The sequence below is a fragment of the Homo sapiens genome, chromosome 20, assembly GCF_000001405.40.
Source record: "Homo sapiens chromosome 20, GRCh38.p14 Primary Assembly".
Lineage (NCBI taxonomy): Eukaryota > Metazoa > Chordata > Mammalia > Primates > Hominidae > Homo > Homo sapiens.
Window position 1 is genome coordinate 44169553 of NC_000020.11, and position 26386 is coordinate 44195938.

The 26386-nt window shown below is 46.5% G+C and overlaps 1 protein-coding gene across 3 annotated transcripts in view, besides 3 other annotated features; it reads right to left on the reverse strand.

Moving 5' to 3' along the window:
- The window catches only part of JPH2 (junctophilin 2), an 80599-nt gene extending 62963 nt beyond the window's left edge, over positions 1–17636 (reverse strand). The window contains exons 1-2 of one of the 3 annotated variants that reach the window (XM_006723833.5): positions 16775–17636; positions 1205–12018 (exon numbers count right to left, since the gene is read on the reverse strand). In XM_006723833.5, the coding sequence (XP_006723896.1) occupies positions 11954–12018; positions 16775–17153 (444 nt within the window). In that variant the 5' untranslated portion in view covers positions 17154–17636 and the 3' untranslated portion in view covers positions 1205–11953. Of the gene's footprint in view, positions 1–1204; positions 12019–16774 lie in introns of those variants that run through there. The other 2 variants (NM_175913.4, NM_020433.5) reach the window with 2 other exon arrangements.
- Positions 7829–8329: an enhancer, noted in NCBI's record as "H3K4me1 hESC enhancer chr20:42806021-42806521 (GRCh37/hg19 assembly coordinates)". NCBI's record gives its function as "activates a minimal SCP1, AML or CMV promoter by ChIP-STARR-seq in primed H9 embryonic stem cells {active_cell/tissue: H9 hESC(primed)}" and the evidence as "EXISTENCE:reporter gene assay evidence [ECO:0000049][PMID:30033119]".
- Positions 10811–11717: an enhancer, noted in NCBI's record as "H3K27ac hESC enhancer chr20:42809003-42809909 (GRCh37/hg19 assembly coordinates)". NCBI's record gives its function as "activates a minimal SCP1, AML or CMV promoter by ChIP-STARR-seq in naive H9 embryonic stem cells {active_cell/tissue: H9 hESC(naive)}" and the evidence as "EXISTENCE:reporter gene assay evidence [ECO:0000049][PMID:30033119]".
- Positions 12624–13530: an enhancer, noted in NCBI's record as "H3K4me1 hESC enhancer chr20:42810816-42811722 (GRCh37/hg19 assembly coordinates)". NCBI's record gives its function as "activates a minimal SCP1, AML or CMV promoter by ChIP-STARR-seq in naive H9 embryonic stem cells {active_cell/tissue: H9 hESC(naive)}" and the evidence as "EXISTENCE:reporter gene assay evidence [ECO:0000049][PMID:30033119]".

Sequence of the window (26386 nt, forward strand, 5' to 3'; positions counted from 1 at the left end):
GAGACATCAAAGAGACATATGGGCCAGACCAGGATTCTGCCTCCAAATACAGAATGGACACTGAGAACACCATCCCATCTGGCCAGTGACACCTTCCTATTTCCAGGGAACTATCTGAGGTTGGAAGATCAGTGTGCCTCGGTGCTACGGTTTAATGTTTGTCCCCCTAAAAAGCTCAAATTGAAACTTAATCCCCAATGTGGCAGTATTGAGAGGTGGGGCCTTTAAGAGGTGATTAATCCACTCATGGATTCATGGTTTAATTGGTTATGGGAGTGGGGCTGGTGGCTTTATAAGAAGAGGAAGAGAGATCTGAGCTAGCACACTCGGCCCTCTCATCACATGACACCCTGTGCCACCTTGGGACTCTGCAGAGAGTCTCCACCAGTAAGAATGCCACTCCTGATATGACCCCTTGACCTTGGACTGCCTAGCCTCCAGAACTCTAGGAAATACATTTTGTTTCTTATAAACTACACAGTTTCAGGTATTCTGTTATAAGTAACAGAAAGCAGACTAACACACTGGAGAACTGAACAGAGATGGAGAGAAGGAACGAGGACTAGCTCCTTTCTAGGAGTCCCCATTGCCTATAGAAGTCCTTACCTGATAGTCCAGTTCCTTCATGACCTGGTTCCAAGTCACTTTCTCAGCCTTGTCTTCCCAAATCCTTCATAGCCCAGTTTCAAACCACCTCCTTCAGGGAACCACCTTCCTTCCTCCAAATTCTCATTGCCCAAGACATTTATCACTTCTTACTTCCCATGGCAGCTCTCTTGTCTTTATCTTGCCTGTTTTGTCTACCAGCCATCGCTGATCCTTCTCCAAGTCCTCTCACATAGTACCAGATGTTGGCATAAGATCTTTGGGTGGCCCATAGAAGTGTCATCAACAAATTTCAGACAGTGTTTAAGATGGAGCATGGCAGATACAGAGTGAGCATCAGAGAGTCCAGGGGTTAATGGCTCTTGTCCAAGCATACCAAGATCAGACCAGGTGAACCAGAAATGCTCACTGTGGTCAGCACACATGCCCATGCCACAGACACCACACAGATGCTCCTGATTATAAGGGACTCATAGCTTGGCTCTAACCCACCTTGATAAAGACTATGGACCCAGCATCCCAGAGAAAGTAAGCCAGGGCTAAGACAGCTTTGGAGGTAGCAAAGAATAATGGAAATCACATGGTCTTCAGATAGACCTGACTCTGAATATCTCTTTAATTTTGCTCAATATATTGTTAAAATGAATAGATAAGAAAGTATCCTAACAGATACAGGCATCATCATTTCGATGTTACAATTGGAAAAACTGAAACTAAGAATTTAAATGACTCTCATGATGACGCACTGCGATACTCCTTAATTCTCTTGGTCTCCACCCTATCTGTCTAGTCCAAGCCACATCCTTTTCTCCCTCGATGATGACAGTAGTATCCTCCCTGCCCCCCACTTCAGTTGACCCTTTGCTGCTGCCACTCATCTTCTTCATAAGATGCAACTCTCAGCAGGTTACTCCCCATCTCAAAACCCTGCAGTAACTTCCCAGTGCCTTGAGGAGTGTCTCAGGTCAGGATCCCTAGGGAAAAGATTCTGAAGCTGAGATGATGTGTGGGAGATTTAGCGGGGAGTGCTCTCAGGAAGAGCACGTGTAAGGAAGGAAGCAGGATTTGGCAGTGGAGGAAGCTGAACATCTGCAACAGAATATTCAACTGATCCCAGGGGGATTTAAGCTGGTATAGCCCTTCAGCGTTGCCCAAAATCAAAGCAAGGGGGCCAGGTCATTACAGTCATTAGATGTGAAGGAGGCAGCTCCCTTTGTTGGAGAGAAATACCCAGCCAGGATCTGTCAGCTGCTAACACTCCTGGCAGCTCGGGGAATGTGTCCCTGGTCCTAAGGAGTGTCTGAAGGGGTAGCCTAGAATCTACTAGAAGGATGAAGTTCAAGCTCCTCACTGTGACCCACAAAACCCTCATGATCTGGGCTTTGCCAATCTCTCCAGCCTCGTCCACCCCACTCTCTCTCTCTGAGTCTGTGCTCCAGCCTTTTCTGGAACACAGCATGCTCAGGTCCCACCTCCAAGCCTTTGCATTTGCTGTCCCTTCTGCCTGCCTGTGCGGCCTCCCCTGTCACCCAGTTTACCTCTATTCATCCTGCATATCTCAGCTCAAACATCACTTCCTCAAGGACGCCTTCTCTGATTATCAGACCAGACCAGGTTTCCCTGTTATCAGTTCATAAATTCTTCTATTTTTCCTTCAAAATATGTATCACATTTTGTATTTAAGTAATTGTTAGATGCCGGTCTCTGCTGTTAAGATACATGCACTTGGGGGCAGGGACAGGTCTGACTCGCCCACCACAGCATCCCCAGCACTCCATGCAGGGACTCACACATGGAAGACATTCAACAGATACTGTCAAATGCATTAATAAGCACAGGCTTTGAATAAGGTCTCTTTGAGTCTGTCTCCTCTCAGTAAAGTGAGCATAGCAAGTTTCCTTTGCAAGGTTGCTGTATTACATGGTTTATCTAGCAGAGATCTCGGGCTCTCAACAAAGGTTGGCTCCTTTCACTTCATGGGAAAAGACTGTAGGGTGACCAGTCATCCCAGTTTGCCTATGTCTGAGAGGTTTCCTGGGATGTGGAACTTTCAGTGCTAATACCGGGCAGTTTCAGGCAAATTGAGATGGCTGATCACCCTAAATTGGGGTGAGAAGGAAAAAGGGGCATTTCATATTAGTACAATAGTCAGGATATAGTAGCAAACCAGCTCTTTAGGACAAACCAACCAACCAACCTCAGTTTGTACTATTAGTCAGTTTCCACTGTGTAAATACCCCCACCATGACTGCAAAGTTCCTGAGCTCTCATGAGCCAGTAGGAGCTGGCTCTAGTAACCTGTATGTGTGTATATATAAATATTTTTTGTTTTGTTTTGTTTTGTTTCGTTTCGAGACAGAGTCTCACTCTGTAATCCAAGCTGGAGTGCAGTGGCACAATCACAGCTCATTGCAGCCTCAACCTCCTGGGCTAAAGTGATCCTCCCACCTCAGCCTCCCAAGTAACTGGGACCACAGGTGCATACCATCATGCTGGCTAATTTTATTTTTTGTAGAGATGTGGTCTCGCTATGTTGCCCAGGCTGCTCTTGAACTCCTGGACTCAAGCAATCCTCCTGTCTCAACCTCCCAAAGTGTTGCAATCACAGACAGGAGCCACCAAGCCCAGCTCAATAACCCATATTTAATATGAGCTCTCAGGTTTCTATTGCAAATGTGCCACACAGCCATAGACAACCTCAACTGTGGTGCAAGTGAGAATATTTCAATCCTGAGAAGGTCACAGCTGGAGTGGAGCTTGGAGATTAAAACCGCTTTTATAAAACTTATGACAGTGAAAAAAATCTGACATAAAAATATTTAACAGTAAAAAAAATCGATATAACTGACTCCATCTTACTTCTAACCTCACAAGCTAACTGTCTTCACTCATGCCTGGACATAGACCAAACTAACTATTCAAAAATTGAGTTAATAGTTTAAGACAAAAATAATTAACAGTCCTTTCTTGAAACTAACCCCCTCTTTACTCAGTGACCAAAACTGCCTTTATAAAATTATGACTCCAGAGAAATATAGCCAGAGGTTACAGAACTTGTAACCTCCCCAGCGACTCCTATAGATAACATCACTACTGTCAAAACCTAAAATTGGCCTTTAAAATATTTTTTGAACTTTTACATTCTGACGATTCTACCCAGACCTGTGACTCATAGCAAAAAACTAATTCAACCAGTCCTATAACCCCCACCCCGAAACTGCCTCAGTATAAAAAAGCCAGCTTCGACTTCCTATAATTTCATCCCCAATCCAACCAATCAACATTTCCCTCTCCCTAGCCCCCTGCCCGCCAAACTATCCTTAAAAAATGCTACCTTCCAAACTTTCAGAGACATAAATTTAAATAATAAACCCCCATCTTCCCACTTGACTAGCCCTACATTTATTAAACTCTTCCTCTACGATAATACCATTGTCCTAATAAGTTAATTTTATCCATACAACAAACAAACAAAGGCTGGGTGCTGTGGCTTACACCTGTAATCCTAGCACTTTGGGAGGCCAAGGTGGGTGGGTCACGAGGTCAGGAGTTCAAGACCATCCTGGCCAACATGGCAAAATCCTGTCTCTACTAAAAACACAAAAATTAGCCTGGCGTGGTGGCGCATGCCTGTAATCCCAGCTACTCAGGAGGCTGAGGCAGAGAATTGCTTGAACCCAGGAGACGGAGGTTGCAGTTAGCCGAGATCGTACCACTGCACTCCAGCCTGGGCGACTGAGAGAGACTCCGACTCAAAACAAACAAACAAACAAACAATTCATCAGACGATGATAAGATCTTCTAGTCCAAGCCCATAAGTAATCCATCACATAGGCCACTTATTCCCCATCCTGTGTCCACAACTGACATTGCTAATGGGTCATGAGGCTGAGTAGCACTATAGCCTACAGTCCCCACTCACCACTTCCGCAGGTAGCCACACCCAATTAGCCAGTGTTGTGCGTGAGAAAATCTGCTTACCTTCATGGGTAAGTGTAGTCTTATTCCTTCATTATACGGGGAAGGAAGCTTAGGCTCAGAGAGGTAGAGGGACCTGCCCAAGGCCACACAGCCCAGGAGTAGCTCAGCTGGGACTGAAGAACAGGTCCCTTGCCTCAATTGCTCTTTCAATGCTGCCTTGCATTGAAAAGCTGAGTACCCAGAGTAGGGAGAAACAAAGGGAGGCCATCCAGGATTCTGAGGCTACATTCTGGAAAACTGTGCTTAGACACCCCCACCCCCAACCCTTTTTGCATCCTGAGGGCTCCTTATTACGTCTACATGTAAATACTGTTTGTATGGAGGAAGCACTTTTTAAAAATTGCAAAAGTTGGGCCAGGTGCAGTGGCTCACGCCTGCAATCCCAGCACTTTGGGAGGCCAAGGCAGGCAGATCACTTGAGGTCAGGAGTTCGCGACCAGCCTGTCCAACATGGTGAAACCCCGTCTCTACTAAAAATACAAAAATTAGCCAGGTGTGGTGGCGCTTGCCTGTAATCCCAGCTACTCGGGAGGCTGAGGCAGGAGAATCGCTTGAACCCAAGAAGCGGAGGTTGCAGTAAGCCAGGTGTGGTGGCTCAGGGCTGTAATCCCAGCACTTTGGGAAGCTGAGGTGGGTGGATCTCTTGAGCTCAGGAGTTCAAGACCAGCCTGGTCAACCCCTGTCTCTACTGAAACTACAAAAAAGTAGCCGGTTGTGGTGGTGCACGTCTGTGGTCCCAGCTACTCAGGAGGCTGACATGGGAGGATTGCTTGAGCCCCCCGTGCAGGGGTGGAGGTTGCGGTGGGCCAAGATCCCTCCTGCACTCCAGTCTGGGTAACAGAGTGAGACCCTGTCTCAAATTAAAAAAAAAGAAAACAAAATTTTAAAAGTCATATGCTCATTGCAAAAAAAATCCAAACAAGAGAAGAGTATATAAAAGAAAACACCTTTGTCCGGTCTCCCCAGGGTAACTTCTGTTAATGATTTAGATCCTTCTAGGCCTTTTCCTGCCAATTTGCAACTGTATACTGATCACAAATAGACTAAAAGATTAGCTGTTCACCAGTCTGCCACTGACCCCATCTCTGAGAACACTACCTAGCACCTAGCAGGCACTCAATAAATATTTGCCAAATGGCTTTTGTTCACTTATAATGGCTTAGATTTCTTTCTGTATGAATATAGGTGGGTCCACCTCTGTCTTTTTAAAGTCCTGTTGTACTTCATCGCATGGTCTCATAAATTAACAGTCCCTTCGGTGAGCATTTAGACTGCGTTACATTTTTCCCGTAACAATCCCAAGGCCTTGCTCTCTGGCTCGCCTGCAAGGCTGGCACCAAAGTCCCTTCCCATGGCTTCCAAATGCCGCTGTCCATCAAATCTCCATAGTCTCTGGTTTCCTGGGATCACCAACAGACAACCCGAAGCGGAGGAGCTGGCGGCATTTGGGACCAGCTCCCAGGAGCAGGGTCAGGTTGCAGCGGGTGGATGACAAGTCCCTGAGCCCGCAAGGCTCCACCACCCCTACATCCAGAGGCTGCTGCCCCAGATGATGCCCCGTGGCTCACCCCCAGAAGCAGGGGATTAACCAGGAGGCATCTCCTGGGTGCTGACAGCCCTGGAGCCTGTGGCCTGGGGAAAAGGCCCATTTCCAGGCCTTGGGTCAGCTCAGCAACCCTAAGGGCCTTGGAGAGCAGAAATGATTGTGTGTGCAGAAGGCAAGAAAGGTCAAGGGGAGAGGGTCTAAAAGGAGACCCACCTACCTGTGCACAGGCCTGCCCAGAAACCCAATGCCCATGGACACTTCCAACAGGCATCTCTCACCCATGGTGTCCAGTACTGAACTCCTGACCCTTCCTCCTCAAACCCTCACCCCATCTCAGTTCATGGCAACACCATCCTTCCATGGTTCAGGCAAAAGCCTTGGGACCATCTTTAACTCCTCTTTCTCTCAATCCTATCCAGTCTATAAGTTTTGCTTCAAAATGTGTCTTCTCACCACCTCTGCTACTACAAGGTAGTGGTGCAAACCACCATCTTCTCACCAGTCATAATGTAATAAACTCACTACCAGGTCTCCATGCCACCTCCCCTCACCTAATACCTATTTTCCCAAAACAGCCTTTTCTCAACACAAGAGCTAAAAGAATCTCATCAAATGGGTCAGATCCTATCTGTCTTTTTTTTTTTTTTTTTTTTTTAGAGATAGGGTCTCACTGTGTTGCCCAGGCTGGTCTTGAACTCCTGGGCTCAAGCAATCCTCCTGCCTTGGCCTCTTAAAGCGCTGGCCTTCTCTGTACATCCCATCAAGGGTACATACTGTAGGTTTGTCTGTCACTGATGATGTTAAATTTGATCACTTTGTTAAAAGGTAGCCATAGGCCGGGCACAGTGACTCATGCCTATAATCCCAGCAATTTGGGAAGCTGAGGCAGGAGGATGGCTCGGGCTCAGAAGTTTGAGACCAGCCAGGGCAACATGGAGAAACCCCGTCTCTACAAAAAAATTAGCCAGGCATGGTGATGTGTGCCTGTAATCCTAGGTACTTGCAGGCTGGGGTGGGAGGATCACTTGAGCCCAGGAGGTCGAGGCTGCAGTGAGCCGTGATTGTACCATTGCACTCCAGCCTGGGTGACAGAGCAAGACCCTGTTAAAAAAAAGAAAAAGAAAAAAAAGGTATCCATAAAGGATTCCAATTTAATTAAAAATAGAAATAATAAAAACATGGTACATGCCATCCAGAGTGTCCCCTGCAGGCTGCATGCAGCTGTCCAGCCTCCATGTGTGACTCCAGCTCTACCCCATCCACAGCAATGGGCAGCCAGCAGTGGCAGGAAGACCTCCAGGCACAAGGTGCTCATTCCTGGCCTGGAGCAGGGGTCACTCTGGAGTTCCTAGCACACCTGGGCTGCTCTGTGGATTCTGCCAGGCACAGATCTGTGCCAGGCAACTCTCATCAGTTCCCTTTAAGCAGGGAGTGAAAGTTACACGGGAGGGAGGTGTGCCAGCCCTAACTTCTCTCCTACTCTGTGGCTTCAGCTCGGGAAGGGATAGGTGAGAACAAGGATAACCCTCCAAGGCAGGAAGTCTATGGCAGGAAGCAACCCTGTCCCCCTCGCCCCACACCCCACCCTCAACCAGGGCCCTCAGAAAATGAGACTCGGCATTCCTCATGAGGGTGTGGAGGGCAGGGCCTGCTCCGGGGAACAGCTGCTGGGCACGGAATTAGCAGGTCCCGGAAACAAGCAAGCTCGATGAATCCCAGAAGCCTGGCCTCGGACAGGGGCACGTCTGCAGAGATTTGGCCAATCGGGCACATGAATCACTGAAAACAAGGCCGTGGACAGGAAAGACTAATACGGTCCGCTTTTCTGTTCTGCTAAGGGTCTGCTGTGCTCTCCTGGGGTCTCCATAGAATGCCCAGAAGCTGCCAAGACAGCAGCTCAGCTGACTGTCACGCTGATGCCTGGCTGTGAACTGGGACATGAGATTTCCAAGATGAGGTTAAATTATGCTGATTCTACATTCGAAATGGAATCATGTCTGGCATGGATTCCATCTACACTGGCAGGACTCAAGGCAGAACTAAGCGAATCAAAGTCTTGTCTTATTTACTGTTCCAAAGTCAAAAACTCGTTTTTGTCCTCAAATATCCTCCCGAAGACAGTGACAGCTATGGTTCAGGCCATCCTGAATTAATTCACCCTTTGGAATGTGAAGGAAATACGGGAATATATATTTTGGCATTTCCTATGTGCCAGGCATGATGCTCAGTGCTTCATTGTCTTGTTTCATTGTCTCGACCATATTCTGAGGGCGATTTTAACACATCCCTAAAGGAAAAAAGGAAACAGAAGCTCAGGGAGGTTACATGGTGCACCCAGGTTCATATGGTTAAGAACCGGCACAGCTGGGATTTGAACCCAGATCTGCCTACTCTAAGTCTCAGTTGCTTAAATATCACATGTCTTCCTTTAGTAATATCAGATTCTCTCAGGGCCTCTACACTTGATTTTCAATAACAGTCAAACTATTTTAAGTTAAAAGAGATTCCTTTTCACCTGAAAAACAAAAACAAAAAGATCCACTAGAACTAAGAAATTAACTGAGCAAGGTAAAAGAATTCAAAGTCAATATACAAAAATAGTTGTATTTCTATAAACTAGCAGTGAACAATTGAAAAAATAAAATGTTAAATGCCGTTTACAATAGCACAGAAAATAAAATATCTAGGGATAAAATTAACAAAAGATGTGTAAGACATTGAATTCTCTAAAACATTGCTGCGTGAAATTAAAGAAAACCTAAACAAATAGGGATATATACCATGTTCACGGGTTGGAAGCCTCACTGCTAATAAGATGTCCATTCTCTCAAACTGATCTATAGATTTAATACAGTCTTCATCAAAATCCCAGCAGGCCTTTTTCAGAAATCAAGAGGCTGGTTTTCTTTTCTTTGTTTGTTTTGTTTTGTTTTTGTTTTTGAGACAGGGTCTCACTCTGTTGCCCAGGCTGAAGAAGCTGGTTTTAAAATGGAAATGATCCAGAATAATCCAATTTTGAACAGGAAGAGCAAAGTTGAAGAATTTACTCTGATTTTATGACAATATAAAGCTACAGTAACCAAGGCAGCATGACATTGGCATAAAGATAGACAAACTGATCAACAGAAAAGATATTCTATTATGCAAATAAATAAATAAATATGGAAGTTAAGTTCCTTCAAGCTTATCTCTGCAAGGAACATGTATCACAGGCCCAGAGAATGTGATACCAGGTACTTACTGCTCAGTCCTCCAGCCTGGCAAAATCACGTAACTCCCGTGTTCAGAGTCAATTGGACTAAAATTAGCTGAAGTCATAAGCTTTGAGCAGAAGAAAGAAAACTGGATCCAGAGCGCAGAAGCTTGGGTTTTTGACCCAATCGTCATAATTAAACATAAAGTCTCAACTTTTCAGCATGTAACAATAATAGTAGTAGTAGTAGTAATAAAAGCACTAACACATGCCATACCCTGTTCTAAGAGCTTTACATGGATCAGGGCCTCATTTAATTCTCTCAACAAAATAGAATAAAAGAGAAAATAGCAAGCATTGCACCTAGGAAGGGAAATCTTGTTCCATGACGGTTTGTTTCAATTTTACATTCTTTTTAGATGTGTATAGGTATAGAATTACAATGTAAAATACATATTTTTTTGCATTCACTGCCAGGGAAGGAATAAAACACATATCTTATAGTGGGATTGCAATTATAACAGTTTACAAGCCACTAGGGTAGTAGATGAGAGGGTTATGAGGTAACCCAAGTGATACAGTGCCCATAAGACTTTTAGCCGGAGTCTGGTACATAGTAAAGGCATATTAACTAGTAGCCAGGCACAGTTATTACTATTGTCAAGGCCAGCTTCATGGGTGCTGGAACCATGCAGTCTCGTAGGACCCAGCACTCAGAAGGGCCCTGCGTCTGGGTTAATGCTCTGTTGTCCCCATCTTAAAATTCTTAATGATTTTAAAGAAGGGGTCCACATTTTCATTTTGCACTGGGTCTCACGAATTATGAAGCATGTCCTAGTCTGTATCATTGTTTACCATTTATTATTTAAAATACTTATTTATATTACAAAATGTTTAATGATCACTTATTATTATCAAATTGCATCTCTGCTTCTTATTAGCTGGACGACCTTGAGTGAGGTACTTGCATGATCTCCATGTCAGTTTCCTCATATGTAAAACAGGAGCCGTAACTACTTCTCCATGAGGTTGTTGTGTGAAGGTTTAAACAATACAACAGGCTGGGTGCAGTGGCTCACCCCTGTAATCCCAGCACTTTGGGAGGCCAAGGCAGGGGGATCACCTGAGGTCAGGAGCTCAAGACTAGCCTGGCCAAAATGGTGAAATCCCGTCTCTACTAAAACAAAAAGTTAGCTGGGCATGGTGGCACATGCCTGTAGTCACAGCTACTGAGGAGGCTGAGGCAGGAGAATTGCTTGAATCCAGGAGGCAGAGGTTACAGTGAGCCAAGATTGCGCCATTGTACCCCAGCCTGGGTGACAAGAGCGGAATTCCGTCTCAAAAAATAAATAAATAAGTAACATAACATACCTCAAGTACCTCAAGTGCTAGGAATGGTGCCTGGGACTTAGTAAGCACTCCAAAAATATTAACTATCTTTATTATTATTATATTTATTTTATTTTTTTTTGACACAGTGTCTCATTCTGTTGCATAGCCTGGAGTGCAGTAGCGTGATCATGGCTCACTGCAGCCTCGACCTCCCGGGCTCAAGCGATCCTCCCACCTTAGCCTCTCAAGTAGTTGGGACTATAGGCATGTGCCACCATGTCCAGCTAATTTTTGTATTTTTCTTTTTTGTAGAGATGGGGTTTCACCATGTTGCCCAGGCTGGTCTTGAACTCCTGGCTCCAGCAATCTGCCCACCTTGGCCTTACTGTTATTATTTTTATTAGCTTTATGGAAAAAAGTCAACTTTGGGCTTGATTCTTCCAGTGCACATTTTGGGGTGGGATTAATAAAGTCATCAGTGGTTCTGGAACTTATTTGAGCCAGAGATGACTTGGAGAATCTGAGACTATGTGAGAAAATGCCTCCCAGAAAAACACAGATAGTCTTGCACGTATGTTCACATCACGCCTGAAGTTTCAGGGTATTTATGGGTCTCTGAGGCCAACGCAGGGGCCCCAGGACCAAGAACCTCAGAAAATAACAAGCACTAAGGACTCTAGGAGGTCCAGAGTCCGCGAGTGTCTCGGTGGGAACAGCCAGCCAGCCACGCAACAGGCACATAACTCTTTCAGGGCTGGGGCATGTGCGGATGCTTTAAGTCAGCAGCTGTTTTTAGCTTTGCTATATATGGCCAGGGGAGGAATGAGGGCTATAGGAGGGGGAGGGGTGCCAAGCAGCTTACAACAGGGTTTGGGAGGCCAGAGCTCCTGCACCAGCCCCACCTTCCCCTTCCCATGCGAGAGCTGGAGAGCTTATCCTCAGACCAAAGAGAAAGCCTAGAGGACAGGGAGGGGTCGGCGAGATGGGAATGACAGGGCTTTGAAGAAGACGCCAAGTCAAGTCACCTTAGAACAATGAGTGTCAAACTTTTTGGACCATGACTTGCAGTAAGAAACACACTTTACATTGCAAAACACACATACATGCAGACACTTTTAAACACACACGAACTCTCACACATTGTGTGTGTGCATATATATGTGTATCTCGCCAACTGAATAAATCTTTCAGAAAATAATACTTTATCTTATTCTCTGTGAAATACTCCGATACTTTTCTATTCTGTTCTGTTCTTTCCTTTTGAAAAATGCAGGTCGTGACCCACTGAATTGACTTCACCATCCACTAATGCGTTGTCCTCTCCAGTTTGGAAGACTGCTGTTTCCTTTGTAGCATTTGACTGCAAGAAAAGGAGGGCAGTGAAGAAGACTTCTGAACCTTTGAGGATAAAATGCAAGTTTCAGCTTTATCTCCTAGCTGGATGGCAAGTTTTGGACCTCCCAGCTTTTGCATGCTCTGTCCTCTCGTCCTGGAGTCTCCCTCCGCCCTCGTCACCTGGCTCACTCCTGCACATATGTCGGGGCTTGGCTTGCAGCTGACTTCAGGAAGCCTCCCTGAATGCCTGCGTCTGGTCAGCTGCCCACTCTGGCTTTGTTACTCCCCTGTCTGTCCCTGCCTAGCACCCAACACAGAACAGCAGGACAATTTCCTGTTAGATTTGCTGTGAAGACAGGGAGCGTTTCCCTTCTGCTTATTCCTACGCCGCAGGTGTAGCGCGGGGCTAGCTGCATCGGAGTCCCTAAATAAATATTTACTGGATGAATTAATAATAGGTAATAGTAATAAGAGCAACCACCATTTACTAAGTACTCATTCATCCCAGGAGAAGTCTTTTGAGAGATTAGGATAGGTCCATTTTATAGACAAGGAAATTAAGGTTTGGTGAGTTTAAATAATGTGGCAGGGCCAGGAGAATGACCCAGGGCTGCCTGACTCCCAGCCGTTCCTAATCACAGGATCTTATTTGTCCACATCCCCCTCAGTGATACCCACGTCGGGGCAAAGGGTGAGTGCAGATCCTTAACAAACCCTCAGGGGACTGATGACAGGTTGATTAAAGAGATTTTCCGAAGCAGTGGCCACGTCTAATTTTGGAGAGTTACACCTCGTGTGTGGCTTGGGAAAGAGAATCTGTGAGGTTTCCAGGGCCGCTGGATGTGGGGTCATCTCATCTGGGAGAAGTCTGGGGCTCTGACAAACCAAGGCAGCAGGGCTTCTGGTCACCTGGCCTGAAGAGCTCCTGGGCACACCTGGGATAAAACCCAGGACCTGCAAAGCCTGTGTGATCCAGCCCAGGCCACGATGTCTGCACCCCTCGCTCACTCTGGCATTCTTGCTGTTCTTCAAACCCGCCAAGCCCAGCACTGCCTCGGGGCCTTTGCAACAGGATTCCCTCTGCCTGAGGGACCTACTTCCTCTACAGGCTCCTCCATCCTCCTTCTGAGACGACTCCATCTAAGAACACCTTCCTCTTCCGCCTCTGTTAGTTTTTTCCATAACACTTGTAACTTTTGGAGATTACATGTATGTTTGTTTTCTAGTTTATGTTTTTCCACTGGACAGGGAGCTCCTTGAGGACCTTGTCTTGCTCGCTGCCCCCACCCTAAAACTTGCTGTAAAGCAGTTCCTGGAACAGAGCAGGTGCTCAGTAGTACTGGTTGCATGAATGAATGAATGAATGAATAGGTTTTCCTCTTTTAGACACATTGGGAGATGGGCCTATGGTTTCCTATGCTCATTTTGACCCAGAGATTTGTGTCCTGTGACTCACATCCAGACCCAAAACACACACATACACACGCACACATAAATACACACACACACAGACACGTGCACACACAGACACACATGCACACACACATACACACACCTTGGTTTGAAGAGAAGAGGGATGGGAACAGACATTCTACGCATGCCTACAGTGCACCACTGTGCATAGGTAACTGATGCTGTATAAGCACTCAAGGATTATCTCCATTTTTAGCCAGAGAAACTGAGGCTTGCTTTCTGCTGTGTCTCCAGTGCCTAGCACTGTGCCTGGCATAAACATCTGCTGAACTGAATTGCACTAGATTCAAGAGGCTCAGAAAACAGTTCAAGGTCACCCAACTAGCAAGTTGTGGAGCCAGAATCTGTGCTCAGGGCTGTTCAGTCCCCAGCCAGTGCCGGGTAGCAGCCATAGGCACCTGCACAAACTCCAGCGACCTCGTTAACTTCCAAACACGGTCTCGAGGGCAGGCCCTCACCCAGACACCCACCAACTGGCAGCTCAGATGCAAATCTATCCTGCATCTGAGGCTGCTCTCAACATGCCCAGGGGCCTCGGCTTCAGCAAACCTTGCTCCCTGGGCTAGCTGATGCCTTTTCCTGCCCCAGCTACCCTGATCCCAGCCCCAGTCCCACACTTCCTGGCCACTGTCAAAAAGAGGAGACACTAGTGACGAATATAATGTCCTATGAATGCCTTCTGATGCCAAATGTCATTTGTAAAAATTAGCCAGTTTTGAGTTATCTGTGTCAGTTCCTCTTTCCAATGCAGCTCATTAGGAAGACTCCATGGAATTATCCTGCGTCAGAAAGAGTTTGAGTGATGATTCAAAACTGCAGCCAGCAAACTTTCGCTGGAAAGAGTCAGGTAGGGCGGGGTGTGATGGTTCACACCTGTAATCCCAGCACTTTGGGAGTCCAAGGCAGGTGGATCACTTGAGGTCAGGAGTTCAAGACCAGCCTGGCCAACGTGGCAAAATCCCATTTCTACCAAAAAATTAAAAAAAAAAAAATTAGCCAGGTGAGGTGGTGGGTGCCTGTCCCAGCTACTTGGGAGGCTGATGTAGGAGAATCACTTGAACCTGGAAGGCAGAGCTTGCAGTGAGCTGAGATTGTGCCACTGCACTCCAGCCTGGGCGACAGAGTAAGACCCTGTCTCAAAAAACAAACAAACAAAAGAAGTCAGATAGTAAATACTTTGGGTTTTGCAGGACAAGAAGCAAAATTGAGGATGTTACGTAGGGGCTTTCAAATAATTTCACATGTCAAAAAGTGTTCTTCTTCTTCTTCTTCTTCTTCTTTTTTTCCATCATTCTCAGCTTATAAGCTGTGCAGAACTGACAGCAGGCTAGTTCGGCCCACGACCTATGGTTTGCTAGGCCCTAATTTAAAGCAACTTTTTAAACTTTGATGTTATAAAAATTGCCTGATACACTTGTGAAAGCAGTGTTTGGACACACACTCAGAGATTCTGATGAGAAGGTCTGGGTGGGCCACTGAATTTGCATTTCTAACTGGTGGATCAATGGTGCTGATGCTGCCCGTCCACCGTCCACATTTTGAGCAGTACTGATATTCTAAAGTGTCCCTTTTCACAGATGAGGAAACTGGCTTAGCTAAGTGATATGTCCATGTACACCCTGTGGACTAGGTAATGACATCTGCTCTGCCACTCCACAGGGCTGTTTTGCCACAGAAAACTCCTCTCTGATTCTTTAACCCACTGCTACCCTCATGCTTCTGAGCCTTTGTCTTCACTCTTCTCTCTGCCCCATGCCCACCCTCACAAACGTAACTGTCCTGTCGAGACCAAGCTCAGGCGTCAGCTCCATTTAAAGTATTTCCTGACCTCCTCAAATCTAAATTCTCCTTTCTGCAACAGTATCTGTACATACTTGTGTATAATGTGTATAACTGTTTGTCTGCATGCCTATCTTTGTTTTTCGATTTTTCGTTTTGTAAAAATGGGGATCTTGCTAGATTGCCCAGGCTGGTGTTGAACTCCTGGCCTCAAGTGATCCTCCCACCACAGCTTCCCAAAGTGCTGAGATTACAGGCGTGAGCCACGGAGTCCAAGAATTGCTTGAGCCCAGGAGTTTGAGACCAGCCTGGGCCACATAGTAAGACCCCATCTCTACAAAAAAAGAAAAAACAATTAATTAGCTAGGCTTGGTGGCATGTGCCTTGTAGTTCCAGCTACTCAGGAGGCCAAGATGGGAGGATTGCTTGAGCCCAGGAGTTCAAGGTTGCAGTGAGCTGTGATTGTGCCACCGCACTTCAGCCTGAGCAACAAAGCAAGACCTATCTTTAAAAAATTTAAAAAAGGAAACACAAAAGGAATGTAGGCCCGGCACAGTGTCCCACACCTGTAATCCCAGCAATTTGGGAGGCCGAGACAGGCAGATTGCTTGAGCTCCGAAGTTTGAGACCAGTCTGGGCAATATGGAAAAGCCCTGTCTCTACAAAAAAAAAAATAATAATACAAAAATTAGCCAGGCATGGTGGTGCACACCTGTAGTCCCAATTACTAGGGAAGCTGAGGTTGGTGGACCACTTGATCCTGGGAGATCAAGGCTGCAAAGAGCCGAGATCATGCCACAACACTCCAGCCTGGGCAACAGAACGAGAACTTGTCTTGGAAAAAAAAAAAAAGAATCCATGGATGGATCATAGATGGATGGATGGATGGATGGATGGATGGATGGATGGAAAGATGGATGGGTGGATGGGCAGGTAGATGTATGAATGGCTGGATGGGTAGATGAATGGTTGGGTGGAAGCATGAATGCGTGGGTGGGTAGATGGATGGATGGGCAGGCAGGTGGGTGGATGGATGAATGGATGGATGGACGGGTGGGTGGATTGGTGTGTGGATAGATGATGAGTGGATAGTTGGATGGGTGGATGGATGGATGGGTGGGTGGATGAATACTCCTCATGATCTATTGCTTGAAAATAATTTTCATGGCAAAGTTAAGACTAGACCCTAATTCTGCTAGAGTATATTCCATGGCTGTTTATGTTGGGGCATACCGAACATGCTAATGGTAGTAGTTATATTTTATTGTGTGTTGAGTGTGCACTTACATGGCAGGCTTTGTACTAAGCACTGCCACTAATCCTCTCAATAACCCCTTTATTAGCTCCATCTTTACTACAAGAAAATGGAAGCTCAGAAAGGTAGAGCAGCTTGCCCAAAACCACACAGCAAATCACTTCCTAGCCCATCTGATTCTGTGCCAATTGCCGGTCGCCTTTCCCACCCTCCACCAGGGTTTCTCACCCTCCCTGGCTCCACCCCACCTCTGCGGGCCCCCAGCTGGCCTCACCTCCATCAGCATAGGTCTCGGTGCCATAGCCGTCTTGCAGGCCATTGTTCCAGGTGCCCTCATACTTGGCACCGCTGCTTGAGCTCTGCCGGATTCCGTAGCGTCCCTTGAAGCCATGTGTCCACTCGCCCTTGTAGAGCCAGCGCCCCTTGGTCTCTATGCCCAGCCCATGCCGTTTGCCCTGGCTCCAGTATCCCTCAAAGGTGTTTCCGCTGGGCCAGGTGTAGACACCTGCCACCTCAAAGCCAAAGTTCCAGGAGCCAGAGTATTCGCCCTGGCCCTTGGGGCCTGTGCACAGTCCATGCCCATGGGCCTTTCCCCCCTCCCAGCCCCCGCAGTACGCCCCTCCATCATCAAAGTCGAAGCGGCCCCCACTCATCTCATCATAGCCCCTGACAACCTCCCCGTCCTCCAGCGTGGGTGCAGAGGGCGTGGGTGATGCCTGCAACACTCCTCCAGTGCCCTCGGGGGCAGGCCCCCAGACTCACCACTGCACCCCAGGAGGGGGGAAGCAGGATGCCAGCAGAGGCTGAAAGAGCCCCGGCGCCAAGTCAGCACCGGGTCGGCTAGTCAGTGCCATGCCCGGGAGCCCCGACTCCACCAGCCAGAGCAAGGCTGCCTGCTGGAAAGAAAGCAGGAAGGAAAGGTTCAAAGTCCCCACAAAGCGTCCCAAGTCTGCCTTCCAAGAAGTCCAAGGGAAAACGGTGTGATCTCTTTAAGAAGCCCAGTGAAAGGGTGGGGTGGAGGGGTCCCCAGCCTTTTCAAAGAGGGGAAATTCCCCTCGGTGGCAGCCCCCGCCGGAGGCTGAATTCCCGCAGCCCGCTGGCCCCCTTCTCCACCCCAGTGGGTGTGCGGGGCTGTCGGTCTCCCCGCCGCTGCCCCGCCCCCTTCTCCAATCCTGCCCTCCTTCTGGGACGGAAAGGTCAGTGTTGCCCTAACAAGGCCATTGGATCTCAGAAGCTGCTCCCAAAATAACCCCCAGCCAGCCCAGCCTTCTTCAAAGCGGGAAGGAGGGGTATTTCAAATCGCGCCCGTGCCGCAGACCCGGGCAGTGGCTGGAGGCATGAGGAAGGAGGCTGAGAACTGAGTGCAGGCAGCCCAGGGAACCTGGTGTCTTTTCCTCCCGGGAATGAGAGCTCCCTTCCATTCTCAGAGTCCCCTGGGTCTGCGCGCAGGGAGGGCACCGGGGAATCGGGGAAGGGAGGGGAGAGGGAGACCAGCAGAACACCCAGTCCTGGAACACTGAAAATCCCCCAGAGCGAGGAGGTTGGCAGATCTCAGCCCCATCACCACTCACATGCCCTAAGGGGACCTGGGGTTACAGCACCACTGCCAGCCCCATCAAGGAATCCAGTGACCTAAAGAGAAAGGAATGGAGACAGTTTCACATGTGCTTCCGAAAGCAGAGGAGGGAAGTCAGAAAGAGAGGGGAGGCTGTGGAAACAGGGTCTGGAAGATACACAGAATCTCAGTCCAGTGCTCACTCACCACCCTGAGCTCCCTCCACCCCTGGAAGCCGGGGAGAACTTGGTGCAAGAAGCAACCATCTATTCCCTTTCTCTTTCTCCTGAAGGGCAAAGAGAAGGGAGAGGAGCCTGCCCTCCTCTCTGCCTGAGACACAGACTGGGCGTCCCGCTAGCTTCCTCTCCCCACCCCTTGATGCCTCGGCGCCCTCCCTGCCCCCTGCCGCAGACCCAGCAGACCCTGAAGGTCAAAGGAGTCCCCTTCCTGTCAACACAGGGTTGTGTTGTAATGAGGTCCTCTCAGAAATTCTCAAGGGTCATGATTTTTTAAAATTTCCCTTTCTGAGCTGTCTTTTGCTCTAGTGTCCTAGGAGCCTGTGAGGCCAGACTTCAGAAAGCTCTTGGGGCAGGGCCAGGAGAGAAGGGCCTGGGTGGATTCCCAGCCACTCAGGTTCCCACCAAACTCCAGTAAAAAGAACAAATAAATCTCCATGGCAAGAAGCTGTGGCCAGAGCTAATGATTGTAAATCCCAGCTAAGCCCAAGGTTAATGGGAGTATAGAGGAATTCTGGGAAAGGTAAGAGCCACCAAGACTAGGAAGATCTGTGTGTGTGTGTGTCTGTGCGTGTGTGTGAACGTGTGTCTGTGAGAGTGTGAGAGAGTGTGTGTGAGTGTATGTGAGTGTGTGTGGTAAGAGTGTGTGTGTTTGTGTGTGTGTGGTAAGTGTGTGTTTGTGTGAGTGTGTGTGGTAAGAGTGTGTGTGTTTGTATGTGTGTGTGGTAAGAGTGTGTGTGTTTCCATGTGTGAGTGTGTGTGTGTGAGTGTGTGTGTGAAGATGGGGACAGAAGAGAAAGAGAGAACTAAGCACAGAAGGTACTAGAGAACATTAGACAATTATCTGACTTTGAACTTATCTGACATATTTCCAAACCCCATGATAACTTAGGCCACGTGAAGTCACTGCGGAAGTCTTGTTCCTGTTTGGGGAGTGGGTAAAAAGTGTTCCCTGCTTTCCTTCCAGTGGGTTACCTGTTCTTAGGACTTGGTTCCATCCTTGGTCACAGCCGCTGACCTTCAAGAGCCCCTTCTATATCTGCGTTTCACCACCAGGTAGAGGCACCCAGCCTCTTGGGCTCACTGTCACCGTCTGTTTGCCAAGCTGACAGGGAGCACGTAGTGGATAAAAACTGTTTCCTCTGGGTGGTTAGGTGTGAGCCCTGGCCAGGCTGACTGACAGCCTGCTTGCACAATTCACTTCTAAGAACATCTCAGGGCTACTCCCAGGGAGTTCTGCTTTCGCCACTTCTCACTAGGTCTTTGGAGAATCACAAACTTCTTTCTAGCTCTGCTGTCAAGGGAAGAGCATCTCAAACTGGAAGCTAGGGGAGTTTGAGCTGCAGATTCAATACCGTAATCATATGTTTATGCCAGGCAGCCATTGCTACATCTTAGCAGGGTGTTCTACCTATGGGAATTTAACCACTGTTCATCCATAGCAGCTCCCTAGGGTAGCTGTCTACCCAGGGTTACTACACATAAGAATCACTTACAGACTTAAAAACATAAAGAGATCCGAGAGCCCCACCCGAGACCTACAGAATTAGATTGTCCTGGGAGAAGACTTGGGCAGTCGAATTCTTTTAAAAGCTCCTCAGATGAATCTGATTTTCATCTCTGGTTAAAAACACTGTAAGTGCTTGTTATAGTGGCTCACACCTGTAATCCCAGCACTTTGGGAGGCCAAGGCTGGAGGATTGCTTGAGCCCAGGTGTTTGAGACCAGCCTGGACAACACAGTGAGACCCCGCCTCTACAATTAAAAATTTTTTTTTTTAATTAGCCAGGTGTGGTGATACACATCTGTGGTCCCAGCTACATGGGAAGTTGAGGCAAGGAGGATCGCTGAGTCAAGGAGTTGGAGGCTGCAATGAGCCATATTTGTGCCACTGCACTCCAGCCTGGCAACCCTGTTTCAAAAAATAAATAAATAGATAGAAAACAACAACAACAACAAAACCAAGGTAAAATTTCAAATTAAGATACTGTTTAATAACATAAAAATTCATGAATCCATTTATTCATGAATCCAGTAGTTTTGGAGTTAGATATGTCTTCAAATCCCAGTCCTGCCCCTCACAAGCTGTGTGACCTTGGACCAATTGTTAATTTCTCTAAACTGCAAATTATTCATCTGTAAAAGTCCCTACCTCAGAGGATTATTGGTATCAAGAATAACAGTATCTACCTTATCTAACTGGGTGAGGATTACACAGTTAATACTGTAAAAAGGCTCAGAACACATTACACATATAATCAGTGTTAGCTCTTATGAGAGTTACTCTTACATACTAAATTACTTTTCAGGCTTAATAAAATAGTCCTCAAAGAGGGAAGAGAGAACCCCTCCTAAATATTAAATATCTTGACATCGAAGCACTCCTTATTCTCATGTTTTAAACTGCAAAACGAAGTTACTGGTAAAGGGATACTTTGACTTTGTAAAAGTTTAAGTAAGATTCTTTGCCAAATTTGGTACTGGCCTTACCTGCCCAGAGCTTTCTGACAAGCTACCATTTGTCCCGCCTTTTAAACCAGTGCATTTCAGGGAAAGGGAGACCTCTTGTGGCGTTATGTGCATTACAACGGACTTTCCTCAGAAAAACCAAGTTCTTCAAATCCAGTGGAATTTACTAAACTTGAAATATTAGCCGGGCATGGTGGTGCATGCCTGTGGTCCCAGCTACTCAGAAGGCTGAGGCAGGAGGATCGCTTAAGGCTGGGAGATCGAGGCTGCAGGGAGCCATGATCACACCACTGCACTCCAGCCTGAGTGATGGAGCAAGATCCTCTCTCAAAAAAATAAATAAATAAATAAATAAATAATAATTTAAAAATAAATAGGCCGGGCACGGTGGCTCACGCCTGTAATCCTAGCACTTTGAGAGGCCAAGGTAGGCGGACTATCTGAGGTCAGGGGTTCGAGACCAGCCTGGCCAACATGGCGAAACCCTGTCTCTACTAAAAATACAAAAATTAGACGGGTGTGGTGGCACCTGCCTGTAATCCCAGCTACTGGGGGCGCTGAGGCAGGAGAATCACTTGAACCCAGGAGGCAGAGGTTGCAGTGAGCCGAGATTGTGCCACTGCACTCCAGCCTGGGCGAGAGTGAGACTCCATCTCAAAAATAAATAAATAAAAATAAAAAATAAAATAAACTTGAAATAATTATAAACTGGTTTTAACGGTAGCTAGCCTATTCCCTCTCTTCATCTCAGATCTCTTCCCACTCCCTAGTTCTGTTCCCTGGTCACTTTCTCCCTCTATTTCCTGCTCAACTTCTCAAGCTTGACTGCTTCTCTGGGAACCTCAAAGGGAGAGAACTGGAAATCCGGAACAAGGAGAAGGACTGCACCCAGAAATCCACTGGAGTTCTTCTTAGCCATGGAAGGCTCAGCAGAGCGAGCCTCACCGTCCAGGAAGCCTTTCCAGGCAGGTGTCCTGGCTGAGCTAGTGCCCTTCCCACATGCTGTCTCCTCCCCCAAACTATGAGTTGTTTAAAGCAAGGATTTTCTTCTTTCCAAAAAACAGTGGATAGTGCTGCAGTGAACATAGGTGTGCATGTATCTTTATAATAGAATGATTTATATTCCCAAAGGAATATAAATATATATTCCTTGGGCACTGCCAAGTGCCCAAGCCACCAAACCCATTCCCAAAGGAATATAAATCAGTAATGCGACTGCTGGGTCAAATGGTATTTCTGGTTCTAGGTCTTTGAGGAATCGCCATAATATCTTCCACAAGGGTTGAAGTAACTTACATTCCCACCAAAAGTATAAAAGCATCCCTATTTCTCCACAGCCTTACCAGCATCTTTTGTTTCTTGACTTTTTAATAATTGCCATTTTGACCGGTATGAGGTGGTTTCTCATTCTGGTTTTGATTTGCATTTCTCTAATGATCAGTGAATCAACCCAAATGTCCATCAATGATAGACTGGGTAAAGAAAATGTGGTACATATATACCATGGAATACTACGCAGCCATAAAAAGGAATGAGATCATGTCCTTTGCAGGGGCACGGATGGAGCTGGAAGCCATTATTCTCAGCAAACTAACACAGGAACAGAAAACCAAACACGTTCTCACTTATAAGTGGGAGCGGAACAATGGAAACACATGGACACAGACAGGGGAACAATGGGGCCTGTGGGTAGGGTGGGGGAACAGGAAGAGAGAGAGCACCAGGATAAATCGCTAATGCATATGGGGCTTAACAGGCTTAATACCTAGGTGATGGGCTGACAGGTGCAGCAAACCACCACGGCACGTGCTTACCTATGTAACAAACCTGCATGCCCTGAACATGTACCTCAGAACTTAAATTATTAAAAAACCTGAGCACCTGCTGTACAGTAGATATTGCAGCTCACCTGTGTCTACCCAGTGCCTGCACATAGTGGCTGCTCCTGGTCTTCCCAGCATCTAGCAGCTGATGACCCCCTTCTGAAATCCTTTTTCAACTGGCTTCTAGAATCTCTCTCGGTTCTGCTCCTGCCTTACTGGTTCCTCCTCATCCCCCTGAGTTCTGTACCTTGGGAATGTCCCAAACCTTCGTTCTCTGGCTTCTTTATCTACATTCATTTCTGAGGAGGTCTCTAGTCACATGGCTTTGCATAACCTCCCTCTACCGATGACTTCGAAGTCTGCATCCCCAGGTTGCACCACTCTCCTGATCTTCAGTCAGACATCCAGCCACCTACTCAACATTTCTAAATATCTCACGAGCATCTCAGATTTGACAAGAACAAATGAAACTCTCAATTTCCACTTGCAAATTTGTCCCTCCAGCCGACTCCAAACTTATTAAAACCTTTGGAGTCAACCTTAATTCCTGTCTTTCTCTCACACCTTAAATCCAGTCCATCGGCAAATCCCTGAAGGGATTTAGATTAAAATAATTCCAGAACAGGCTGGGCACGGTGGCTCACACCTGTAATCCCAACACTCTGGGAGGCAGAGGCAGGTGGATCATGAGGTCGGGAGTTCGAGACCAGCCTGGCCAACATGGCGAAACCCCATCTCTACTAAAAATACAAAAATTAGCCAGGCATGGTGGCATGCACCTGTAGTCCCAGTTACTCAGGAGGCTGAGGCAGGAGAATTGCTTGAACAGGGAGGTGGAGACTGCAATGAGCTGAGATCGCGCCACTGCACTCCAGCCTGAGCAACAGAGCGAGACTCTGTCTAAAAAAAAAAACAAAAACAAAAACAAAAACAAAAAAAACCTTCCAGAACACATATTATCTCCTGCACTGCCAAGTGCCCAAGCCACCAAACCCATTGCCTGACTCACTGAAGTAGCTTCCTAACTGTCCTCCTTGCCTTCCCTTAGTCTGCACATAGTAGCCAGTGCTCTTTCAAAAGGTTAAGTCTCGGCTGGGCATGGTGGCTCATGCCTGTAATCCCAGCACTTTTGGAGGGCAAGGTGGGCAGACTGCCTGAGGTCAGGAGTTTGAGACCAGACTGGCCAAAGTGGCAAAACTCTGTCCCTACTAAACATACAAAAAAATTAGCCAGACATGGTGGTGCACACCTGTGATCCCAGCTACCTGGGAGGCTGAGACACAAAAATTGCTTGAACCCGGGAGGTGGAGGTTGCACTGAGCTGAGATCGTGCCACTGCACTCCAGCCTGGGTGACAGAGCAAGACTCTGTCTCAAAAAAAAAAAAAAGTTAAGTCTGGTCATGTCTCTCTCCTCTGCTTCCCCAAATGACTCCCTATCTCTCACAGTAAGAGCCAAAGAGCCAACACCTTTAAAATAGCCTACCAGGCCCTCCATGATCTGGCCCTACTCATCTCTCTCTGACCCCACCTGCTCAAGTTGCATTGACATCCCTGTGGTTCCTTCTGCCAAGAATGCCCCTCCCTCAGATGCCCCCATGGCTCACTCTCTTACTTCCTTCAGGTCTCTGCTCAAATGTCACCTTATCACAGCATCTTCTCTGCCCACCCCAAATAGCAACCCTATCCCTGGCCCACCCCTTCCTATCTCCTAATTCTTTTTCTCTCCATACAACTTACATGTTCATCACCTCTCTCTACTGAGGACAAGGATATTGTTCTGCTTACTGTTCCATTCCCAGAATCTAGTACAGTGTCCCTGGTGTGTTGTAAGCACTTGATATTTATTGAATGAATGAATGAATGAATGAATGAATGAACGTTCAATGAAAACTTGTTAAATAAAGGCATGTGGAAATCAGGATGTTACTTTTTTGGAACATCAGAGTGAGACTTAATCCCTCAATCCACAAACCAAATCCATTTTCCTAGATGTATCAGAGAAAGGAGATTAGTTTGGTACATCACATTCACAAAAGAACGTCAAATATCCCAATGAGGGACCCTAATGTTAAAGTTGGGCCAATTAGGTCTGAGCAGAGTAATTTTTAACTTCAAGATTCATGTTTTGAGGAAGATTTTGCTGAGATGTAGATAACTTACAACTTATTCCCACAAATCTGGAATGCCTAAACTTTCATGCAAGTTGGATTTTGAGTTACTAGGTCATTGGAACTTTGTGCTTTTCAATACTTACACCCTCCTAACACCTTCATATGAAAAGAATACGTATCATCATTCTCTGGTGACTGCTGCACTAATATACAGCACTAAGTAAATAACCAGAGCGCTGGCTTGAAAAACAAACTAAAAGGGATTTAAAGGCTTAAGAACTCGCCTTAATTCAAAGAACATGTTAAGCCCATGTTAAGCCCACTTAACATGAACTTGAATAGCTCACTACTTAATTACAATAGCTCCACTCCTCTACAGCTTTTATTTTATTTTTGAGACGGAGTCTCGCTCTGTTGCCCAGGCTGGAGTGCAGTGGCGCAATCTTGGCTCACTGCAAGCTCCGCCTCCTGGGTTCACACCATTCTCCTGCCTCAGCCTCTGAGCAGCTGGGACTACAGGCGCCAGCCACCACGCCCGGCTAATTTTTTGTATTTTTAGTAGAGACGGGGTTTCACCGCGTTAGCCAGGATGGTCTCGATCTCCTGACCTTGTGTTCCGCCCGCCTCGGCCTCCCAAAGTGCTGGGATTAAAGGCGTGAGCCACCGTGCCCGGCCCAGTTTTAATTTTTTTAAAGGTGAGCCAAAACATTAGTTGTGGAGGTGAAAGCGGGGTGGTACCTTTACAACCAGAAGCTTAAATTTTGGTCCTGGAATCCCTGAGGCCCTTTTAGGAAATCTGAGGTCAAAATTATTTACATGGTACTAAAACATTACAGGTTGAGGGTCCCTAATCTGAAATGCTTCAAAATCCAGAACTTTTTGAGCACTGACATGAGGAGCAAAGGACATGCTCATTGGAGCAGTTTGGCTTTTAGGATTATGGAAGCTGAACTGATAAGCATGTAATGCAAATCTTTCAAAATCTAAAAAAAATCTGAGATCCGAAACACTTCTGGTCCCAAGCATTTCATATAAGGAATATTCAACCTGTAGTTGCCTTTTTCACATTCATTCTCCCAAGTGTACAAAAGTTTGCCAGAGACCACACAATATGCGATATCCCAGAGACTGAATGCAGAAACATATGAGAATCTGTCTTCTAATTAAGCCAAACATTAAAAAAGATTTGCAAAAAGGTAGAACAATGCCACTCTTCTATTTTTTGTTTTGGAAAAGCTATTTTTCATTCAAAAATTTTGTTAGCTTGTAATGAGTTTTTAAATATTTAAAAAAATCTTAGTTTTAATTTCTAACATGGTAAATATTTATATCCTTTTGGAGATTATAACAAAACCTTTTGGGTCCTGAATTTGTCAGTGTAAAGGAAGTGCTTACAAAAAGTTTGAGAATTTCTGCCTTAGATATACTAAATAGTGTACCTTCTGTCACCATTATCAGGAAATATCTGTCACAGCTTCTAGAACTGTGATAAGGTATTTTGCTCCCTTGCTTTAACCACAGCCTTCAGATGTCACTAAATCCACACCAAACCAATGACCAGCAGAGGACTCCCACTACTACTTAAGCTTAGGGTTTTTCTAGTAAACACCCTTCCCCTCTCCCCCAAGTACAAATCACCTATTTGTTGAAGCCCACATCCCATTATCATGAATCAACCACAGCCAGCGCAG